General features: G+C 46.2%; 1 protein-coding gene across 7 annotated transcripts in view, besides 3 other annotated features; it reads left to right on the forward strand.

Moving 5' to 3' along the window:
- The first annotated feature begins 6,788 nt into the window (after window positions 1-6,788).
- The window catches only part of EXTL3 (exostosin like glycosyltransferase 3), a 148,827-nt gene continuing 131,850 nt past the window's right edge, over window positions 6,789-23,765 (forward strand). For 6 of the 7 annotated variants that reach the window (NM_001438401.1, NM_001438753.1, NM_001438402.1 and 3 more), the window contains exon 1: window positions 21,789-21,863. The gene's annotated coding sequence lies outside the window, so the exon portion shown is untranslated. Of the gene's footprint in view, window positions 6,812-21,788; window positions 21,864-23,765 lie in introns of those variants that run through there. The other variant, XM_024447096.2, reaches the window with a different exon arrangement.
- Window positions 21,193-21,629: a silencer, noted in NCBI's record as "fragment chr8:28479657-28480093 (GRCh37/hg19 assembly coordinates)". NCBI's record gives its function as "represses an EF-1alpha promoter that drives an FKBP-Casp9 reporter gene in an ReSE screen in K562 erythroleukemia cells {active_cell/tissue: K562}" and the evidence as "EXISTENCE:reporter gene assay evidence [ECO:0000049][PMID:32094911]".
- Window positions 21,193-21,810: a biological region, named in NCBI's record as "ReSE screen-validated silencer GRCh37_chr8:28479657-28480093".
- Window positions 21,551-21,810: a silencer, noted in NCBI's record as "silent region_19061". NCBI's record gives its function as "represses an Ori minimal core promoter by ATAC-STARR-seq in GM12878 lymphoblastoid cells {active_cell/tissue: GM12878}" and the evidence as "EXISTENCE:reporter gene assay evidence [ECO:0000049][PMID:35858748]".

Here is a 23,765-nt window from a genome sequence, read left to right on the forward strand (position 1 = left end):
TGTAGTGGCCCAGACATCAATCTCTAAAGAGTGCAGATACCTTACTGGACACAAAATGAGGTGAGACTGTTTCACTTCCGGCTCTTTTCCTGGGGAAAGGAGCATAGACAGCAGATAGTAAGACACAGTGGATGAGTCATACCCCTGGCTACTAGGCAGAGGGTGGAGCAGAGCCCGGTGAATGCAGGGTTTGGGCCAGGTTGCAGTGATACCTGAATCCTCAGGGCAACAGAGGAAAGGCTGAGTGGAGCCACCAGAGGGTCCCCTACTCTTCCTCCTGGCAACCCCACCCCATCATGCCATGCGGCGTGGCCTCTCCTTCCAAATACTGAACACTCTAACGTTTGGCGTGACAGCTATGTAGTTTAAAAATCAAATTTCCACCATTATGTACAAGAGTCTAAATGAACAGGAAGTGCGTTTTGTAAAACAAAATTGAGCTTTCTCCACATTCCTTTTTAAAAGAAAATAACTTAGAATGCTGTAAAGCATTGTGAGATCTTTCTTCCACAGCCTTGAGGTTTTATGTGAGGGAAGATTGGGAAGAGAGAGGGAATCACTGAGAGAGGGTGGGGATAAAAAAAGAAGGAGGAAGACAAGGATGTGTGGGCACAGAGAAGACTACTGTTTTGAAGGAGAGGCAGGTGGTCTGCATCCTGCAGTCCCCAAGGTAACTTGCACCCAACCCTGTCTCTCACCAGCATGCAGGCCTCTCCCTGCCCTGGCAGCCTCCCTCAGGGGGCCTCACTTCTCCCCCCAGCCACACCCCAGCTGCATTTCCTCTCTCTGCGGGTCACACGGGATAAATGAAACAAATCTCCCACAACAGCGTTCCCACCACGAGGCATTTTGTAAATTACTGTGTATATAAATGGAGGCTGTTTAGAAATTGTATGTGATTTTCAGCTGGAGTAAATCTTTTCTGTACTTAATGCCAGCGTTGCTGTAAATTGTTTTCCTGGGGAGAAAACAGCAAGCCTGCCACACCACAACCTCAACAGGCGTTATTTCTTTATTTTTTTTTAACTTTTAGAGTGACAGCTATGCAGTTTAAAAATCAAATTTCCATGTGGTAATGTACATGAGTCTAAATTAACAGGAAATGTGTTTGATGAAACAAAACTGAGCTTTTTCCAAATTCCTTTTTAAAAGGAAATAACTAGGCCGGGCGCAGTGGCTCACACCTGTCATCCCAGCACTTTGGGAGGCTGAGGCCGGGGGAATCACTTGAGGTGAGGAGTTCGTGACCAGCCTGGCCGACATGGTGAAACCCCATCTGTACTAAAAATACAAAAATTAGCTGGGTGTGGTGTCGCGCGCCTGTAATCCCAGCTACTCAGGAGGCTGAGGCAGGAGAATTGCTTGAACCCAGAAAGCAGAGGTTGCAGTGAGCCAAGATCGCACCACTGTCCTCCAGCCTGGGCAACAGAACGAGACTCCGTCTCAAAAAATATATATATATATATATTTTTTTTTTTAATTTTTTTTTTTTTTTTGAGACGGAGTCTCGTTCTGTCGCCCAGGCTAGAGTGCAGTGGCATGATCTCAATATATATATTTTTTAAATAGTAGAGACAAGGTCTCGCTATATTGCCCAGGCTGGTCTCAAACTCCAAGGCTCGAGCAATCCTCTTGCCTCAGCTTCTGAAAGTTCTGGGATTATGGGTGTGAGAATATTTTCTCACTTTTTGATTGAGGTGTAACTTACATACAGTAAAGTGTACAAGTCATGACAGTTTCTTACATGTGTATAGGCCCATGTGGCCACCAACCACATTATGACATAGGACGCTTCTGGACTCCAGTGGGCTCCTTGTGCCCCTCCCAGTCAGTATCCCCCAGAGGTGACCACTCTTCTAGTCTCCATCACTATGCATTGGCTTTGCCTGTGTGATTTGTACCTATGGAAACAGAGTGCTAGACAGACTTATGGAGACATCTCTATATGCATTAGTTGTGTGTTTGGCCTCTTTTGCTCATTGTTGTTTTTGCCATTCATTGGTGGATGGTGGTGCATATAGCAACAATTCATCCTTTTTCTTTTTCTTTTTTTTTTTTTTTGAGACAGAGTCTTGCTCTGTCACCCAGGCTGCAGTGGTGCAATCTCAGCTCACTGCAACCTCTGCCTCCAGGGTTCAAGTGGTTCTCCTGCCTCAGCCTCCTGAGTAGCTGGGACTACAAGTTCGTGCCACCATGCCCAGCTAATTTTTTTATTTTTAGAAGAGACGGGGTTTCACCATATTGGCCAGGCTGGTCTCGAACTCCCAACCTCGTGATCCACCCGCCTCAGCCTCCCAAAGTGCTGGGATTAGAGGCATGAGCCACCGTGCTCGACCTGTAATTCATCCTTTTTCTTCGCTGTATATCATTCCATGATGTGACTGATCACAATGTATCTATTTCATTGTTGATGAGCATTTGCATTGTTTCTAGCTTTGAGTTATTATGAATAAAGCTGCCATGAACACTCCTGTACATGCCTTTGATGGACATAGACTCATTTTTCAGACTCAGGAATGGAATCCCAGAGGCAGAGCTATGCACACGTTCAGCTTCAGTAGGCACCGAACCCGCAGTTGCTTTAACCCAAGGTGCCTTGGAAAGAGAAGCATCCTCCATGGAAACTCTCACCTGTGGCTTCTAGAAACCCACTCAGTTGCCAGCTGGTGGGAAGTGATGAGGGACATAAGGACAAACTGACTGGAGAGTGTCAGAGAAAAGGAGAGAGAAGCGGGGAAGAAAAGGCAGGAAGAGTCAGGGCTCAAGCACATGGAATAAAAACTTATCAAGGGGTGCTGAGGTCAAGGCCAACGAAGAGGGCGGTGTTGAGGATGCTGTCCCCAGAGCGCTCTCCAGGACTGAGTGTTCTCTTGCTGATGACAAAAAAGAAAGAAAATGGAAACAACAAAGCTTTTATAAGAGGTTAAAATCATTCAGAGTTATGCCATTTGCCTGTAAAAATGAGTAAATTAATTTTCCTGATGACAAAATCAGAAATAAATATCTCCTTGAAATCCTCTTATGTCACCACCCTGCAGCAGTGGTGGAGCCTTGGTCATATAGATCAAAATTTACTGTCCCTAAGAGGCAGTGGCCATGAATTTCCCATCTTATTTACTTAAAAACAAAATTTTATTACAATAGTTGAACTTTATCCTTTACAAGATGACATCTTAGAAAAACTTTATAAGTAAGTACTAAAGTTGTATATTTTCTTCATTAACCTGTAACATTTCATCTTTTTTTTTTGAGATGGAGTTTCACTCTTTCGTCCAGGCTGGAGTGCAGTGACGCAATCTCAGCTCACTGCAACCTCCACCTCCCGGGTTCAAGCGGTTTTCCTGCCTCAGCCTCCCAAGTAGCTGGGATTACAGGCATGCACCACCACGCCAAGCTAATTTTTATGGGGTTTTTTTGTTTGTTTGTTTGTTTTGTTTTTTGAGATGGAGTCTCGCTCTGTTGCCAGGCTGGAGTGCAGTGGTGTGATCTCAGCTCACTGCAACCTCTGCCTCCAGGGTTCAAGCGATTCTCCTATCTCAGCCTCCCAAGTAGCTGGGACTACAGGCATGCGCCACCACACCCAACTAATTTTTGTATTTTTAGTACAGACTGGGTTTCACCACGTTGGCCAGGATGGTCTCGATCTCTTGACCTCGTGATCCACCCACTTTGGCCTCCCAAAGTGCTAGGATTACAGGCGTGAGCCACAACTTTTGTATTTTTAGTAAAGACAGGGTTTCACAATATGTCCAGGCTGGTCTTGAACTCCTGACCTCAAGTGGTCTGCCTGCCTTGGCCTCCCAAAGTGCTGGGATTACAGACCTGAGCCACCATGTCCGGCCACATCTGTTTTTTGTTTGTTTGTTTGTTTTTTGAGATAGAGTCTCACTCTGTCGCCCAGGATGGAGTGCAGTGGCGTGATCTTGGCTCACTGCAACCTCTACCTCCTGGGCTCAAGTGATTCTCCTGCCTCAGCCTCCCGACATTTCATCTGTTAATTCACCCCAAATATATATATGTACTTTAAAGCCTATCTTAAGTGGATACAAAATTACAGCTAGAATACGCTCTAGTTATAGCACTATAGGGGGACTACGATTAATGACAATTTATTGTGTATTTTCAAAAGCTAGAAGAGCAGATTTTGAATGTTCCCAACACAAAGAAATGATAGATGTTTGAGATGATGGATATGCTAATTACCCTGATTTATTACCCATTGTATCCATGAATTGAAATATCACAAGGCCGAGTGCGGTGGCTCACGCCTGTAATCCCAGCATTTCAGGAGGCCGAGGCGGGCAGATCACCTGAGGCCAGGAGCTCGAGACCAGCCTGGCCAACATGGCAAAACTCCGTCTGTACTAAAAATACAAAAAAAAATTAGCCGGACGTGGTGGCACACGCCTATACTCCCAGCTACTCAGAAGGCTGAGGCAGGAGAATCGCTTGAACCGGGGAGGTAGAGGTTGCAGTGAGCCGAGATTACACCACGGCACTCCAGCCTGGGCAGCAAGAGCGAAACTCCATCTCAAAAAATAATAATAATAAAATAAAATAATAATAATAATAAAATTATTATTATTATCATGAACAAAAGTCTGATCCTAGCAGTTCCTCGTCTACCTTCAGGATGACTGGACATAGAGACTTGTGGTTGCCTGGTAATTTCTCAGTGCCTGGCGTATTGCCCTGACAAGGTGGGAGGTCTGGACATCTGGTCTGGGTTACTTGAGCAAATCAGCAAGTGTTTGGTTTGCACTTTCAGTCTCCCTGTGCTGAGAGGAGAGAAAATAGCTATGAAGAACTGCTGGCAGAAGTTTAAGATCCTCCCCACTCCCTAGGTCTGCTTTCCCTAGTCATAAAAAGGTGTTCAGCTACCACCTGACTAAAAGGAATACTACTCACTCTTTCTTCGATTTTTTTTTTTTTTTTTTTTTTTTTTTTTTGAGACAGGGTCTTGCTTTGTCACCTAGGCTAGAGTGCAGTGGTGCGATGATAGCTCACTGCAGCCTCAAACTCCTGGGCTCAAGTGATTCTCTTGCTTTGTCCTCCCAAATAGCTGGGATTACAGGTATGTGCCACCACGCCCAGCTAATTTTTGTATTTTTAGTAGAGATGGGGTCTCATTATGTTGCCCAGGCTGGTCTCAAACTCCTGGCTTCAAGTGATCCTCCTGCCTCAGCCTTCCAAAGTGCAGGGATTATAGGTGTGAGCCACTGTGCCTGGCCTAAAAAGTGTTTTCATTGTGGAAAAATACACATAACAAAATTTACCACCTTAATCCTTTTTACGTGTACAGCTCAGTTGTGTTAAGTACATTCCACATCATTGTGCAGCTTCTCCACCATCATCCCCAGGACATTTTCATCTTCCCAAACTGAGACTCTGTCCTCGTTAAACACCAATCCCCGTTCCTGCTGCCCTCAGTCCCTGGCAACCCCATTCCACTTCCTGTCTCTGGGAATCTGACTCCCCCTGCTGCCTCGTGTAAGTGGAATCTTACAGCTTTGCTTTCTGTGACTGGCTTATTTCACTAGCATCATGTACTTAAGTTTCATCCATGTTGTAGCATAAGTCCAAATTTCCTTCTTTTCTTCCTTTTTTTCTTTTTTTTTTTTTTTGGAGACAAAGTCTCGCTCTGCCACCCAGGCTGGAGTGCAGTGAAATGATTTCGGCTCACTGCAATCTCCGCCTCCTGGGTTCAAGTTGTTCTTGTGCCCCCGCCTCCTGAGTAGCTGGGATTACAGGCACCAGCCACCATGTCTGGCTAATTTTTGTATTTTTAGTACAGATGGGTTTCACCATGTTGGCCAGGCTGGTCTTGAACTCCTCACCTCAGGTAATCCGCCCACCTTGGCCTCCCAAAGTGCTGGGATGGCAGGTATGAGCCACCCCACCTGGCCTTCCTTCCTTTTGAAGGCTGAGTAATATTCCATTGAGTACATATGCCACATTTTGCTTATCCATTCACATGTAGTTGGATATTTGTGTTGCTTCTACCTTTTGGATTCCTTTATACATTTTACTAACATTTACTGAGTACCTACTCAGTATAAATAACTGTGATAGTTGCTAAGAGGAGATTAAAAGAAAAAGAATGGCATGATTCTTCCCTCAAGAACTTATAATTTTGTAGGTGTGGGTGTATAAAAGTAATTATATAAGGTAAGATGAAATAAGTACTATAATGTGTGTACATTCAAAAGAGTACTGGGGCTAGGCACGGTGGCTCACGCCTGTTATCCCAGCACTTTGGGAGGCCAAGGCAGGCAGATCACCTGAGTTCAGGAGTTCCAGACCAGCCTGGCCAACATGGTGAAACCCTGTCTCTACTAAAAGTACAAATATTAGCTGGGCATGATGGCACATGCCTGTAGTCCCAGCTACTTGGTAGGCTGAAGCAGGAGAATTGCTTGAACCTAGGAGGCAGAGGTTGCAGTGAGCTGAGATCGCACCACTGCACTCCAGCCTGGATGACAGAGCGAGAGGCTGTCTCAAAAAAAAAAAAAAAAAAAGAGTACAGGAATCTGGGGAAGCAGTGACCAATCTCAACCTGAAAATATCAGACAGGTTCTCAGAAGGTGCAGCACCTGAGCTATGCCCTAAAGAGGAAGAAATGGGGTTTCCATAGGTGCTGAGTGGGGGTGGGGCGGGAAGGAGCTCAGGTAAAAGCAGATAGTGTGAAAGCACGTGGCATGCCATGAAAATAAGGAAATAATGGAATTTCATGTTTACTTTAGGTAACTGATCCTCCGAAACGACTGCTAAGCACAGGCTCGAGGCAGTAACTTCCATGCACGTATCTGTGGTAAGAGACCATCCACTGCCATAGCACAGAGCATTGGGAACACAAGTTAACAGTCTTGAAATAGGTCATCAAGGTGGGGCGCGGTGGCTCACGCCTGTAATCCCAGCACTTTGGGAGGCCAAGGCGGGCGGATCACGAGGTCAGGAGATCGAGACCATCCTGGCTAACACCATGAAACCCCGTCTCTACTAAATACAAAAAATTAGCCAGGCGTGGTGGTGGGCGCCTGTAGTCCCAGCTACTCGGGAGGCTGAGGCAGGAGAATGGTGTGAACCCGGGAGGCAGAGCTTGCAGTGAGCCGAGATCGTGCCACTGCACTCCAGCCTGGGCGACAGAGCGAGACACCATCTCAAAAAAAAAAAAAAGAAAGAAAGAAAGAAATAGGCCATTAAGCTGGTCCCATTACTGAAACACACAGAGAACTTCCCTTTGCAGCGATCTCTTAGGGGAGAAGCCTTTGGATGTCCAGCCAGTTGGGACCCCTTGGGAAAGGGTTCAGGGTATCCTGCTGAACTCACCCACGCTCCTGTGACTCCTGCCTAGTGAGCTTGTGCATTTAGGCACAAACGTGCCTAATGTGAGACCATCTTGGGAGTCCAGTGAAAATGAACACTCCCCCAAGATAAGGCTCTCCACTTTACTACTAGTTTTTGTGGGTTGGAATTCAGTCTTTGATTTACCCAATCAACATATATTTGTTGACAGCCAAAGAGTTTCTGGGTGCTAAGATACAGTTAACAAGATACATTGATAAGATCTCTGCTGTCTCATAGAACTTCCCTTCCTGTAGAGTGAGATCAAAAATAACCAAAGAAATAACCTGGCCAGGCACAGTGGCTCACACCTGTAATCTTAGCATTTTGGGAGGCCGAAGCGGGGGGATCACTTGAGCTCAGGAGTTCAAGACCAGCCTGGACAACATGGTGGAACCTGGTCTCTACCAAAAATACAAAAACTTAGCCGGTCCTGGTGGCTCACATCTGTGGTCCCAGCTACTTGGGAGCCTGAGGTAGGAGGATCGCTTGAGCTCAGGAGGCAGAGGTTCAGCCAAGATTATGCCACTGTTCTCCAGGCTGGGAGATAGAGCAAGACTGTGTCTCAAAACAAAAACAAAAACAAAAACAAAAACACACATGCACACAAAACCCAAAGAAATAACCAAGAAAATTATCAAACAGCAATAAGAGCTGCGGAGAATTAAAATAAAATGGCCTAACAGTGAATGGGTGGCTTCTTGTGTTGGGTGATCTGAGATTGTGCCATTAGGCTGAGTTCTGAAGGAGCCTACACACAGAAGTCTGCTAGCAGAGCATCCCAGGCAGAGTCACAGGTCATGCAAAGGCCCTCAGGCAGGACTGAGCTTGACACATTTGAGGCAGAAATAAGGCCGATTTGTCCAGAGCACAGTGAGTGAACAGAGAGTGGGTACAGTTGAGTTAGAGAAATAGCCTGGGGCCGTCACAGAGCATTTGTGACTCAGAGAAACGAGTCTGGATTTTTTTCTAAGTGCTGTGGGAAATCGTTGGAAAGCTGTAAGCAGAGGGAAAACTTGATATGGTGCATATTTTTAAGGTCACTGGCATGAGGGTTTCGCTGGAGGGGAGGGTGGTACAGTAAAAGTGGAGAGTGGACTTGGGTGCATTTCGGACATGGATTCCACAAGCGATAAAGAAGATTAAAAAAAAAAGAAATCTAGGGAAATTCCTACAGTTTTGATTTAAGTAACTGAGTGGATTATGTTGCCTTTTTAAAGATGAGGATGCCTGAAGGAGGAGCTCTGGGTGGGCAAGGGAAAGGTGGAATCAAGAGTTCTCTTTTGCATAAGTTCTTTTGAGATGTATGCAAGGCCAGGCACGGTAGCTCATACGTGGAATCCCAGCACTTTGGGAGCCCAAGGTGGGTGGATCTCTGGTGGAGCCCAGGAGTTCAAGGCTAGCCTGGTCAACATGGCGAAACCCCATCTCTACAAAAATTTTTAAAAAATAACTGCGCGTGATGGTGTGAGCCCATAGTCCCAGCTACTTGGAAGGTTGAGGTGGGAGGTTCGCTTGAGCCCAGGAGATTGAGGCTGCAGTGAGCCATGATGGAGCTACTGCACTCCAGCCTGGATGATAGAGTGAGACACTGGCTCAAAAAAATAATTAAAAAAAAAAAAAAAAAGCCAGATGCAGTGGTTCATGCCTGTAATCAATCCTACCACTTTGGGAGGCCAAAGCAGGTGGATCACCTGCGGTCAGGAGTTCGAGACCAGCCTGGCCAACATGGTGAAACCCCATCTCTACTAAAAATACAAAGATTAGCCAGGCGTGGTGGTGGTGCCTGTAGTCCCAGCTACTCGGGAGGCTGAGGCAGGAGAATCACTTGAACCTGGGAGGTGGAGGTTGCAGTGAGCCAAGATCCCACCACTTTACTCCAGACTGAGCGACAGAGCGAGACTCCATCTCAAAAATATGTATATGTGTGTGTGTGTGTGTGTGTGTTTGTGTATGCATGTGAAACAATTCCAGAGTTAGTCGAGAGTCCTAGGAAAAGAGATCAGGGCTGAAAATATAGATATGGGGAATCCTGGGGCAATTTCCTCATCTCTTTGTTAACAGATTGTTAGTCAGGTCCAGTTCAGTGTCTTGCATGCTGGACAGCCACTGTAACACACCCAGGGATCTGTTTCATTCCCCACCTGACCTAGTCCTGGCAAATACACTACCTGTGGTTGTCATTTGGACCAGAGGAAAAAGGGATGAACTGGGATCCCAGAGCCCAGGCACTGAGGACCGGCTCTGATTCCAGGAACCAAAACAAAGAAAAATAACAGTTATCGGGCGCTTTCATGTGTCAGCCCTACATAGTGCTTCATGGAATCTCTGTCTTAATTTTCACACCATACCTATGCGATGATTCTTACTTTCCCCACTTGACAGATGAAGAAATGGGCTCAGGTTGGTAAAATGACTTCTTCAAGTTTGTAAATCAAGCCCAGATCTGTTTCTTTTTTTTTTTTTTTTTAGATGGAGTCTCTGTCTTTTAGGATGAAGTGCAGTGGTGCAATCTCAGTTCACTGCAACCTCCACTTCCTGGGTTCAAGTGATTCTCCCAGGAACCTCAGCCTCCCAAGTAGCTGGGATTACAGGCGCCTGCCACCACGCCTGGCTAATTTTTGTATCTTTAGTAAAGATGGGGTTTCACCATGTTGGCCAGGCTGGTCTTGAACTCCTGATCTCAAGTGATCCATCCACCTCGGCCTCCCAAAGTGCTGGGATTACAGGCGTCAGCCACTGCACCCCCTACATCTGTTTGATGCTGTTCTACTGTATTACCTCTCCTTGCTGCATGTGCTTGGGCCAGATGTTTAGTTCCTCTGGGCTGGGGTTTCTTCATTTATTAAGTGGGACATTAAAAAACTGATTATTAGGATGGGTGCAGTGGCTCAGGCCTGTATAATCCCGGCACTCTAGGAGGCTGAAGCAGGAAAATCAGTTAAGCCCAGGAGTTGAGGATCAGTGTGGGCAATATAGTGAGACCTCATCTTTACAAAAAATAAATTTAATAAAATTAGGTGGGGTTGTGCACGCCTGTAGTCCCAGCTCCTTGGTAGGCTGAGGTGGGAGGATCACTTTGAGCCCAGGAGGTAGAGGCTGCAGTGAGCTGTGGTCGTGCCACTGCACTCCAGCCTGGGTGACAGAGTGAGACTCTGCTTCTAAAAAAAAAACCACATTGACTGTTATGGTCTCATCTAGCTGTAATATTCTGGATTCTGAATGCATTTGAGTGTGTTTATGTTTCAGTTTTCTAAGTGACTTTGAATCTTACTGTAGCTGAAATGCTTTAGCTAGAGCATGATCTCCATGCTTTCACAGCGAGAGGGGTGATGACCCAGCAGCTGGGGCATCTGAAATGCAGGGATTTGTTGTTGTGAGCCCCGAGGTGAAAGGCCTCTTGGAAGCATAAAGGATTCTGTCAGAGCCACTTTGCTCCCTTGCCCACAGTGCCTTCCTTTCCTTAGCTCTGGGAAATAGTTCTTATTTTCTAAATCATTGTGCTTTGAAGACCAAGCCTGCTGGGGAATGTCAAAGGGGTCACAGGGTTAAATACAGAACCGAGTCTGTTCGCTGCGATGCCAGCCGCTGTCACCCACCCCAGCTAGACCTTGTCATTGGGGCTCCCTGCAAGAGGATCGTCATTTCCTCTAGGCTTTGCCAACAGCAAAGAGAAAAGGGCTCTTTCTTCACTGACGTGTGCCCGCCTGGATCCAGAACGGTATTCTGATGGCAGACAGGAAGAACCGCTCCAGCTTAGTGGCGTGATGTTTGTTCAAAATCTATCTTCAGTGCAAATGTTCTTCGGATGTTTAAATCTCCTATCGTAACTTTTTGGTGGTTGTACATTTCTAACATGTCTTAAAACTCTAGCAAGGTGGGCCAGGCATGGTGGCTCACGCCTGTAATCCCAGCACTTTGGAAGGCTGAGGCAGGCAGATCACCTGAGGTCAGGAGTTTAAGACCAGCCTGGCCAACATGGCGAAACCCTGTCTCTATTAAAAATACAAAAATTAGCCAGGCTTAGTGGCACATGCCTGTAGTCCCAGCAACTTGGGAGGCTGAGGCAGCAGAATCGCTTGAACCTGGGAGGCAGAGGTTGCAGTGAGCCGAGATCATGCCATTGCACTCCAGCCTGGGAGCCTGGGTGACGGAGCGAGACTCCATCTCTTAAAAAAAAAAAAAAGAAAAAAGAAAAAAAGAAAAATAAAAAACAAAATTCTAGCAAAGTGAGTCAACTCTCCCAGTATGCTTGACCAATAATTTATCCAGGTAAAAGTTATTACTATCTTCTTAATTTTTATAAAAAGCCCCAGGGTGAATTCTTATCATGAACAGGTGCTGAATTTTATTAAATGCTTTTTCTGCATCTATTGCTGTGATCATATGAGTTTCCTTCTTTAGCCTATCGATGTGATGGATTACACAAATTGACTTTTTTTTTTTAGACAGTGTCTTGCTTTGTTGCCGAGGCTGGAGTGCAGTGGCACAATCATGGCTCACTGCATCCGCAACCTCCCAGGCTCAAGCAATCCTCCCACCTCAGCCACTCAAGTAGCTAGGATTACAGTCACACACCACCATGCCTGGCTAATTTTTAAGTTTTTTGTAGAGATGAGGTCTTACTATGTTACCCAGGCTGGTCTCAAACTCCTGAGCTTATGTGTTCCTCCTGCCTTGGCCTCCCAAAATGCTAGGATTATAGGTGGGAGTCACCACACCCAGTCTATAATTCTTTTTAAACATTGTTGTATTCAATTTGCTAATAATTTGTTGAGGATTTTTGCATCTTTGTTCATGAAAGATATTGGTCTATAGTTTTCTTTTCTTGTAACGCCTTTATCTAGTTTCAGTATTAGGATTATGCTGTTTTTTTGGTATTTTGTTTTGTTTTGTTTTTTCTTTTTTTTGAGACGGAGTCTCACCCTGTTGCCCAAGCTGGAGTGCAATGGCATGATCTTGGTTCACTGCAACCTCTGCCTCCTGGGTTCAAATGATTCTCCTGCCTCGGCCTCCTGAGTTGCTGGGATTACAGGCAACTGCTACCACGCCCAGCTAATTTTTGTATTTTTAGTAGAGACAGGGTTTCACCATGTTGGCCAGGCTGGTCTCAAACTCCTGATCTCGTGACCCACGTGCCTCAGCCTCCCAAAGTGCTGGGATTACAGGCGTGAGCCACTGCGCCTGGCCCTATGCTATCTTTTATAGAATGAAATGGGAAGTACTCCCGCTGCTTCTATTTTCTGGAAGAGATTGTATAGAATTGATATCATTTCTTCCTTAACCATTTCTTAGAATTCACTAGTGAAACCATCTGGGCCTGGTGCTTTCTGTTTTGGAAGGTTAATAATTATTGATTTGGTTTCTTTAATAGGTATAGATCTATTCAAATTATCTACTTCTCCTTATGTGAGTTCAAGGAATTGGTCCATTTTATCTAAGTTATCAAATTTCTGGGCATAGTTGTTCATAATATTCTTTAATGATCCTTTTAATGCCATAGGATCAGTAGTGATGGCCTCTCTTTTTTAGCCTATTAGCCTAGTCACAGGTGTATTTTTTTTTTTTAGAGACAGGGTCTCACTTGGTGCAGTCATAGCTCACTGCGGCCTTGACCTCCTGGGCTCAAACGATCCTCTGACCTCAGCCTTTGGAGTAGCTAGGACTACAGGCCCATGCATGCTACCACACCCAGCTACTTTTTTTATGTTTTTGTAGAGATGGGGTCTCATGAAACGTCATGAGCCCAGGCTGGTCTCAAACTCCTGGCCTCAAGCAATCTTCCTGCCTCGGTCTCCTGATCCCTAGGATTATAGGCATGAGTCATCGAACCCAGTCAGGTTTATCAATTTTATTGATACTTTCAACAAACCAGCTCTTAGTTTTGTTGATTTTTTCTATTGATTTTCTGTTTTCAGTTTCTTTGATTTTTAGCCTAATTTTTATTTGTTTTCTTCTGTTTACTTTGTGGGGTTTTTTGCTTTTTTTTTTTTTTTTTTTTGGATAGGGTCTCACTCTGCCACCCAGACTGGAGTGCAGTGGCACAATCTCAACTCACTGCAACCACTGCCTCCCAGGTTCAAACAATTCTCTTTCTTCAGCCTCCTGAGTAGCTGGATATACAGGCACGTGCCACCATGCCCAGCTAATTTTTGTATATTTTGAATAGATGGGATTTTACCATGTTGCTCAGGCTGATCTCGAACTCTTGGGCTCAAGCGATCCACCCGCCTCGGCCTCCCAAAGTGCTGGGATTACAGGTGTGAGGACCCCAGTTCTTCTGTTTACTTTGTATTTATTTTGCTGTTTTTAAATTTTCCTGAGGTGGAAGCTTAGGTTGCTGGTTTTGGATATTTCTTCTCTTCTCATATCTCCATTCAATGCTATAAATTTTTCTCTCTGCATTGCTTTCACTGCACCTACAAATTTTGATAAATGATATTTTCATTTTCATTTAGTTCAAAATGTTTAACAATTTTTCTTGAGACTTCTTCCATGTATTATTTAGAATTATGTTTTTCATTTCCAACTTTTAAGTGTGGGGTACATGTGCAGGATATGCATGTTTGTTACATAGGTAAATGTGTGCCATGGTGGTTTGCTGCAAAGATAATCCCAGCATCCATTAGCTGTTCTTCCTGATCCTCTCCCTCCTCCCACCAGGTATAAAGCCCAGCATCCATTAGCTGTTCTTCCTGATCCTCTCCCTCCTCCCACCCCCGCCCTCCAAATTATGTTGTTTAATCTCCAAATATTTGAGAATTTTCCAGCTATTTTTCTGCTATTGATTTCTAGTTAAATTCCATTGTGGTCTGAGAGCATATTTTGAATGAGTTCCTTTCTTTTACGTTTCTTAAGATGTATTTTATTCAGAATGTGGTCTACCTTTGTCAGTGCTCCATGTGTGCTTGAGAAGAATTTGTAATTTGCTGTTGCTGGATAAAGTATTCTGTAGATGTCAATTATATTCAGCTGATTGATGGTGCTGTTGAATTCAGCTGTATCTTTACTGATTTTCTGCCTGCTGAATCTGTCTACTTCTGACAGAGGAGTGTTGAAGTCTCCAATAATAATAGTGAATTCATCTATTTCTTCTCTGCAGGTCTATCAGTTTTTGCCTCATCTATTTTGATGCTGTTGTTAGGCACATACATATTGAGTATTTTGATGTCTTCCTGGAGAATTGACCCGTTTGTCGTTATGTAATGTTCTGCTGTATCTCTGATAATTTTCCTTTCTCAAAAGTCTACTTTGAAATTAATATAGCTACTCCAGTTTTCTTTTTTCTTTTTTTGAGATGGAGCCTTGCTCTGTCACCCAGGCTGGAGTGCAGTGGCTTGATCTCAGCTCCCTGCAACCTCCACCTCCTGGGTTCAAGAAATTCTTCTGCCTCAGCCTCCCAAGTAGTTGGGATTACAGGCATGCACCACCATGCCAAGCTAACTTTTGTATTTTTTTTTTTAATAGAGACGAGGTTTTACCATGTTGGCCAGGCTGGTCTCAAACTCCTAACCTCAAGTGATCTGCTTGCCTGGGCCTCCCAAAGTGCTGGGATTACAGGCTTTAGCCACCATGTCCGGCCTGCAGCTTTCTTTTGATTGGTGTTAGCATAGTATGTCTTTCTCCAGCTCTTGGATTTTATTACATTAAATCTATCAGTAGGCCAGGCACAGTGGCTCACACCTGTAATCTCGGCAGTTTGGGAGGCTGTGGCAGGCGGGTCACTTGAGGCCAGGAGTTTGAGACCAACTTGGGCAATATAGGGAGATGCTGACTATCTTTTAAAAAAAGAAAAAAGATATCACTGGTGAAATTATTATTGTGAAAAATGTAATGAAGTATTCTTGCAAAGGGCAGTACAGTAAGCTACTTTCAGTCATTTATACTTTAGTTTGAATTAGTATATAAGAGACTTTCAATAAACAGGTAAAGAATACTTTTCGGTGGAGGGAAATGGGGGAGGGGGTGAGGAATTAAGAGTCAGTAACTGAAGGAGGGAGATGGAAGCCCCACAAACAAAAAGAGAGGCAGTCAGACATAAAAGCCAAAACGTTCCAGGCACAGTGGCTCACGCCTGTAATCCCAGCACTTTGGGAGGCTGAGGCGGGTGGATCATGAGGTCAGGAGATCGAGACCATCCTGGCTAACAGGGTGAAACCCCGCCTCTACTAAAAAAGTATAAAAAATTAGCAGGGCGTGGTGGCGGGCGCCTGCAGTCCCAGCTACTTGGGAGGCTGAGGCAGGAGAATGGCGTGAACCTGGGAGGTGGAGCTTGCAGTGAGCCGAGATCATGCCACTGCACTCCAGCCTGGGCGACAGAGCGAGACTCCGTCTCAAAAAAAAAAAAAAGCCAAAATGTGTGCTCTTCAAGATTCTTGCCCAGGGCTGATACCGCCTGAATGCTTAAGAGTTTTCCTCTCTAAGTGAATTCAGTTAACAGGTGTGCGCTGAGTATAGATTTGGGTGTGGAGAGTGAACCAGGAGTGCATCAGGGTTCCCAGGAAACAGCTGGTGACACAGCACCTGGAGACTCCTCTTCATCTGCCTTGGAACGCATTGCCTCGGAACCAGCTGTGGACACTGAAGGGAAGACAAAACGGACTTCCAGGCTTATTCTCAATGTTCCTCTTTGCTTCCTTCTTACGGTCACGTCTTTTGCAATCTCAAACCCTTTTCACAAAGGCTGCATCAAGGAAACACAGTATGCCTACTAATACCCAACTCCAGGAATCCCACTTCCTGTTAAGAGTGTCTTAGTCTTGAGAGGATTTGTCCTGGCAGGACTTGCTTTTTAGCCAAGCCAAGTATGTGGTGTGTCTGTGGGATGATTTGAGGAGTGTCTGCAAGATTGCCCTGTCCTACTCATGCCAAAAATTTCACCATGAATGAGTCATACCTGTTGCTACCAACACCCCGTTCCGAGAAGGCAAGGACACAGAAAGAAGATGGGGCAGCTTCCTTCCTCATTTTTCATGGGGATGGCCCGTGACTAGGGTCTACAGTGGAAATAAGATCTTATGTGGAGGAGAAAACATATGTGAAGTGTAAGCTAATGTTCATAGCAACATTATTCACGATAGCCAAAATGTGGGAACAATCCAAGTGTTCATCAAATGAATAAACAAAAAGGAATGTATATGTACAATATACACTGTACAATAGTACCATATATATGTACTATTCAGCCATAAAAAGAAATGAAGATCAGGCCAGGCATGGTGGCTCACACCTGTAATCCCAGTACTTTGAGAGGCCAAGGTGGGTGGATTGCTGGTGGAGCCCAGGGCTTCAACACCAGCCTGGGCAACATGGCAAAACCCTGTCTCTACAAAAAACACAAAAATCAGCCAGGTGTGATGGCACATGCCTGTAGTCCCAGCTACTTGGGAGGCTCAGGTGGGAGAATCACTTAAGCCCAGGAAAATGGAGACTGCAGTGAGATAGTGCCACTGCGCTCCAGACTGGGTGACAGAGCAAGACACTGTCCTCAAAACCAAAACCAAAATCAACAACAATAAAAAAAACAAGAAATGAAATTCTGATACATGCTACAACACGGATGAACTTTGAAAATACTATACTGAAAGAAGCCAGACACAAATGGGCAAATATTGCACGATTCCATTTATATGAAATATCTAGAACATGGAAATTCATAGAGACAGAAAGCAGATTTGAGCTCACTGGGGTCTAAGGGGAGAGGGGAGTGGAAATTATTGCTTTAATAGATACGGAGTTTATCTTATGGGTGATGACAAGCTTTGGAAATAGTGTTGATGGTTGCCTAACATTATGAATATAGTTAATGCTATTGAGCTCTATACTTAAAAATGATTAAAATGACAAACTTTATCTTATCTTAAATATTTTACCATAATAAAAAAGACAGTGAAGCCGGGCATGGTGGCTCACACCTGTAATCCCAGGTACTTTGGGAGGCAGAGGCGGGTGGGTCCTCTGAAGTCAGGAGTTCAAGACCAGCCTGACCAATATGGTGAAACCCCATCTCTACTTAAAAAAAAGGTATATAATAATAATAATAGTAAAACAATAGATGTGACTCAAGATTCCTGGCATGGGAATAGACTGAGGGAACTATGGAAAAGAGACAAAATTCAGAGGGGGAAAATGCAAAGGCCTAGAATTAGAAGCAAACTAAGCTCGTTGGGAAATGGGAACCTGGGTTCAATGAAGTCACCCAGGGCTGGCAGTGAATGAAGCTGGGGAGCTGAGTGGAGGTCAGATCAGGAGAAGCCTCACGTCCGGCACGAAAGAGGTTGAACCTGGCGCAGCAAGGTTTCTAAGCAGGAAGGAGCATATGGCTGATCAGGTTTGACTGTGGGCAAAATCACTCCAAAAAGTGTGGGGGATTTATGGCCTGAGAACAGTGGTGAAAGCAGTGAGAGAACCCCGCAGGGTCAGGCCAGGCACGAGAAAATAGGCTCTAGCCCAGCTCCCACTCCCCAGCGGCCCCTAGTGCCCCTAAAAGCCAGTGTAAGAAACAGGAGACAAGCCAGGCGTGGTGGCTCACGCCTCTAATCCCAGCACTTTGGGAGGCTGAGGCTGGTGGATCACGAGGTCAGGAGATCAAGACCATCCTGGCTAACACGATGAAACCCCATCTCTACTAAAAATACAGAAAAAAAAAAAATTAGCCGGGCGTGGCAGCACGTGCCTGTAGTCCCAGCTACTAGGGAGGCTGAGGCAGGAGAATCGCTTGAACCTGGGAGGCGGAGGTTGCAGTGAGCCAAGATTGCACCACTGCACTCTAGCCTGGGACACAGCGTGAGACTCCGTCTCAAAAAAAAAAAAAAAAAAAAAAAAACAGCAGACCCACCTGTGTCTCAGTTCTGTTACCTGATTTAGCACGAGTTTTCCCTGCTCTAACAGGAGACCATATGTCCTTCTCAAGGCCCACCTGGATACCAAGTCTCTAAACTGGGGAGGAAGCCCACGTAGAAATTAGCTTAGTGATAAAAAAAAAAAAAAAAAAAAAAAAAAAAAAAAAAAAAAAAAAAAAAAAACCCTGTGTGAGCCCTGGACGCTCTAACCTAAATATCTACCTTCCTGGCAAGGTCTCCTGGGGGAGAAGCGAAAGAAGGGTGTTTTCCTCCCGCCTGAAAATTCGGATTGCCTCTCTTTTGCGCTCCGAAAGAACACGCTTCCTCCGGGTGTGTCGGGGCTACCTGCCATTCCCCACCCCTGCTGCTCCTCCCTGGACTGACCCACTGCCCATGGCTCCCAGCTCCCCTCTCCCACTGCTGCCAGTTGGAGGTTCTGCTCCTAACCCCTAAGGGCTGTTTCTTCTGTCTACTTTTCCCCGTGGTGCTCCCAGATACAGCTCCCTGCCGGCAGCCTCCCCACTTTGAGACCCTGTTAACTCAGTCACCTGGGCCCCAGCTCCTTGTTCAGTGACCTCATGTCAGGAGCTTGAAATCAGCGAGGGTGGCAGTATTACAGCACAGGCATCTGCAGACACCACACATTAGCGCTTTTATTTCTGGAGAGCCAGCTGTCATCCGTATCCGTACACCGCCGACAGGGCTTCTGGTTCTTTTTTTTTTTTTTTTTTTTTTTTTTTTTTTTTTTTTTTTTTTGAGACGGAGTCTCGCTCTGTCTCCCAGGCTGGAGTACAGTGGCGCGATCTTGGCTCACTGAAAGCTCCACCTCCCGGGTTCACGCCATTCTCCTGCCTCAACCTCCCGAGTAGCTGGGACTACAGGCGCCTGCCACCATGCCCGGCTAATTTTTTTATATCTGTTTAGTAGAGACGGGGTTTCACTGTGTTAACCAGGATGGTCTCGATCTCTTGACCTAGTGATCTGCCCGCCTCGGCCTCCCAAAGTGCTGGGATTACAGGTGTGAGCCACCGCGCCTGGCCGGCTTCTGATTCTTGCAGACAGACTCCTGCAAGAAAAAAACTGATCCCACAGTGCCAGGCAGGGCTTCATTTCTCTGAGATCTGCTAGGTCCCCACCACCTCAGCAGGCAGGGCCAGTGCTTCCTAACATTGTAGAACTTCTCATTTCACCCCTGTGGTCAGGCTAACTGAGAGAGGGCTCAGTTCACAAGCACATTCTGCAGGCTCCTATGGAACTTGAACTAGAGCTCTGAGTTCTTCAGCAGGATGGATTGTGTGTGCCATCCAAGAATGGGGATGCTGTTTCCCATAACTGCCAACCCCTGTCCTCTCATGTTCCTGAGGTTCAAATGCAAGAGATGCTGCCCCTACACCGGTCTCAGGCATTTGGACCGGAATCCAGGCACATTACATACCCCATGTAGGCTTCATGGCCTCTAGGCTGTCTTAGCTCATTAACATCTCGCAGTTAAACTGGAAAGGCCAGAAAGGTGTTAAACAGAAACAAAAACACTGTAATCAATTTGGTTTGACTATATTTAACCGTTTAGCTTTTCTTTTGTTTTCTTTTCTTTTTTTTAAGAGATAGGGTCTCACTCTATCACTCAGCCTGTAGTACAGTGATGTAATCATTAGCTCACTGCAGCCCTGAACTCCTAGGCTCAAGTGATCCTCCTGCCTCAGCCTACTAAGTAGCTGGGGCTATGGTGGGCACCATCATGCCTGGATAACTTGCTTATTTTTGTAGAGACTGGGTCTGGCTATCTTGCCCAGGCTGGTCTCTAACTTCTGAGCTCAAGCGATCCTCCCCTCTCAGCCTCCCAAAGTGCTGGGATTTCAGATGTGAGCCACAGTGCCCATTGTTGGCTTTTTGATACATTTAAGATCATGTACATTACTGTTAATTATGATTGTTTTTGTCATTCAGTGTGTGTGATTTTCCAAAGATTACACTTTGAATCTCCAGGTGTGCACTGAATTGTCCCCCTCCTTCCCCACTGACAGGCTGAAGTCCTAAGCCCCAGTACCTCAGAATATGACCTTATTTGGAAATCAGATGATTGCAGATGTAATTAGTTAAGATGAGGGCATGCTGGAGTAGGGTAGGGTGGGCCCCAAATCTAATATGACTGGTGTTCTTATAAAAGGGGGATATATTTGGACACAGGAAAAATGCCACGTGTACATGAAGCTGGCCATCTACAACCCAGGAGAGAGGCCTGAAACAATCTTTCCTCACAGTCATCAGAACTGGAACCAACACTGCCCACACCTTGAACACAGGCTTCCAGCGTCCAGGACTGTGAGACAGCACACGTCTGCTGATTTAGCCCCCTAGCTTATGGCACTTTCTGACAGCAGCGCTAGCTAACCAATACACTCCCTGCTAAATGTACTTTTCCATTTGTGCCCCACCAGGGTTTGCAGACAAGCAAAATTGTCATAGTTCCCTAACGCCTCAGAATGTTTTCTTCCTGGATCACTTTTTATAATTATTACTTACAGTGAGGGAAAACTGAAATATTGCAATGCCATCCACAATTAGGATTAGTCCCAACCACTCAGAAACGTTAAAAACTGATCTAATAAAAATAAAGAACCTTAAGACGCATTAAACTCTAAGCTACTTGGAAGCTGCTTCTTCTGTTTGTGGACACGCAGATTTGCCACAGTTGAAATCACTGGCCACGTGCTGTCTTGTGTGTGTTTGTCACTTAACATCGCATGACAGAAATATTTCCACGTAGTGACAATGTTCATATTCTTATTTAAATAGCGACTTACTAGTCATTTGTTATATTCTCATTTTTCACTACATTTTTGTGTAATTTATTTTTTAACTGCATTTAAACTTTTTCCTCGGGGCATGTACGGGAAGAGTTCTGGATTCCAATTTTAGCCCCTGTCACACAGAACCCCGTTCTTCTCTAGACTGAGCTGACCTGTGGTTTCCCCAGAAATAAAAACGACGCGTGCAGGTTTCTCCCTCCCCTTGACGTCATTTCGTTTGATCCTTTGTAATGATTTTCCCTAGTTTCGAAAGCTTGCCCTAGTCTTAACGCTGTTTTCGCGTTTCCTTATGTCGCTAAGCGGGAGGTAGCCCCGCACTCTAAGCATCCGGCTCATTTTCATGTTTTACCGGACCCCAGCGACCGGCGCCCTCTGCGCTAGGCGCCCGGTGCCGTATAGCCCTCCGCCGTGTGCAGCCGGGTGCTGGTGTTGTTGCAGCGGCGCCCGCCAGGAGGCAGCGCAGGCTCGGCATTGGCTGCGGCGTCCCACAATGCACCGGGCTCTGGGGCCTGCACGACAGTCTTGAACCCAGCTGCGGGGCCGCGAGAAGGCGGGCCCGGGAGCCGGCGAGGGCGGGGCCTCCGAGGAAAGGGCCGGGAGCCGACGCGGAGGCGGTGGGCGGGGCGTTAGGGGGCGGGGCCGGGAGCCGCCGAGGGGGCGGTGGGCGGGGTATTCGGGGGGCGGAGCCGGGAGCCTCCCAGGGGGCAGTGGGTGGGACCGGGAGCCGGCCGGCCGGGCCGGGGATGCGGTGAGCCGAGGGCGGGGCCTCAGGGGGCGGGACCGTGGAGAGGGCGGGGCCGGGCCGCTGGCGCTGTCGCCGGCTGCAGTGGCCGCCGCTGGAGACCGCGGGACCTGGCGCTGCAGCGAGGTAGGGGCTCTTCGGGATCTTCCCTTTCGGGGGTGGGAAGTCTTTTCTTCGTCGTGCCAACGGGAGAAGCGGCGAGCTGCTAAAATTTAGAGACGGCTTCGCACTTCTCGCTGTAGCCCGGGCTTTACCCGGGGGATCGATTTTAAAACTCTTTGTCTGGCCCCGTCGTCCTGCCCGCGGGCCGGACGTGGGGCGCCTGCTCTGGGCGTCTGGGGCGGGCGATTGCAAGCTCGCGGTCCATGTCCCCTGCCTCGGAGTGTGGACGTGAACTCCGGGGTGGGCTGGGCTGGGTTTCTACAGAGGCGGGAATTTGTGAGAACTGGGAGAGTGTGGCTGTCGGCAGGGGTCCGTATCACACTGTGGGCGGGGGTCCCGACCCCTGCTGCCTCGGGTACGGGGTAAGCGGCATCTGCCACGCGCCCGCCTCGCGCGCTGTCAGGAGGCGCTGTCCCCGTGGGTAAGCCCGTGCCGTGGGTGCCCTCCAGTCCCTGCAGCCCCAAACACACCTACCCCAGAGGACACCACAGAATGCGGACCCCAAAGCCAGCCGTACCTGCGAGCCCCTCAGCACAGCTGACTTTAATTTGGGATCCCACAATTTGAGCTTTTCAAAAGTTAAGTTTGGCAGATTGGAAGCCCGGGAATAGGGGGCGCTCGGAATGCTGAGTTTTGTTGGTGTTTGTCCTCAGCCTGTTTCTGGGTCACCCTGCAGGGCTCCATCCGTTCAGTCTCACCCCTTGGTAAGCATGTCCTGTCCTGAAGGCTCCATGCTGAAAGTCTAGACCCCATCTTTGCCTACTTTTCAAGGCTTGGCAAAGCACGTGTGTCTTTTGATCCTTATCCCCCATGTAACATAATTCATGTTTTTAAAGATATGTTTTTATTTAAAACCTTCCCCCTATATTTTCATTCCCATAAATACGAATTGGTTGATTTTACTTGTGAACTCCTTTAGGCATTTAGTAATAAAGGTTATAATTAGGAAAACTGAAAGATATTCATCAGGTAAACATGATCCTCCTTAACAAATTTGCTGCTCGTAAAAGGCAGCAGATGGGAAATCAGGCAAGCTTGGTTTTAAAACGTTTCTGCCTCTGAGAAGGTTGAACTATTAATATTATATTTATTGTTCATTCCAAGTCTAAAATGCTAGCAATGAACTCACATTCCTTTTTTGCTAGACAGTCATACCTGTTGACTTGAGATAATAAGAAAATTCTCCTCATCCCCAGAACTGAAGAAAATTCTTTCCAATTGTTCTCACCTTACCTATCCCCAGGGAAAGGAGATAAGTCTCAGAGTTGTTGGGATTCTAAATATTTTGTTAAGCAGAAATTCCTGCTGGTCCTTAACAAACTCTGAGTACTTTGCTCTGGAATTATCAGTTCTTTTTCAAAATGTGAAATTATGAATTGCCTATTACATACAATATTCCACATCTCACGTTAATATTCATTTAAAAGCATTGTGAGGCCGGGTGTGGTGGCTCACACCTGTAATCCTAGAACATCCGGAGGCCGAGGTGGGAGGATTGCTTGAGCTCAAGAGTTCAAGACCATGCTGGGCAACATGGCGAAACCTCATGTCTACAAAAAATGAAAAAATTAGCCGGCATGGTAGTGAGCACCTGTGGTCTCAGCTACTTGGTAGGCTGAGGTGGGAGGATCACTTGATCCTGGGAGGCAGAGGTTGCAGTGAACTGAGACCACCCCACTGCACCCCAGCCTGGGTGACAGAGTGAGACCCTGTCTCAAAAAATAAAAATCATTTTGTAATTGTGAGTAAAAAGAAACAAATCTTTAAAAGATTAAAAACAAGAAAAAATTAGTATATGTTAGTGATTACCATTTTGACTTCCCTGGAGGGACAATAAACCCAAAAGATAAAACCAAAATCTAGTTA

This window comes from Homo sapiens, chromosome 8 (genome assembly GCF_000001405.40).
Source record: "Homo sapiens chromosome 8, GRCh38.p14 Primary Assembly".
Taxonomy (NCBI): Eukaryota; Metazoa; Chordata; class Mammalia; order Primates; family Hominidae; genus Homo; species Homo sapiens.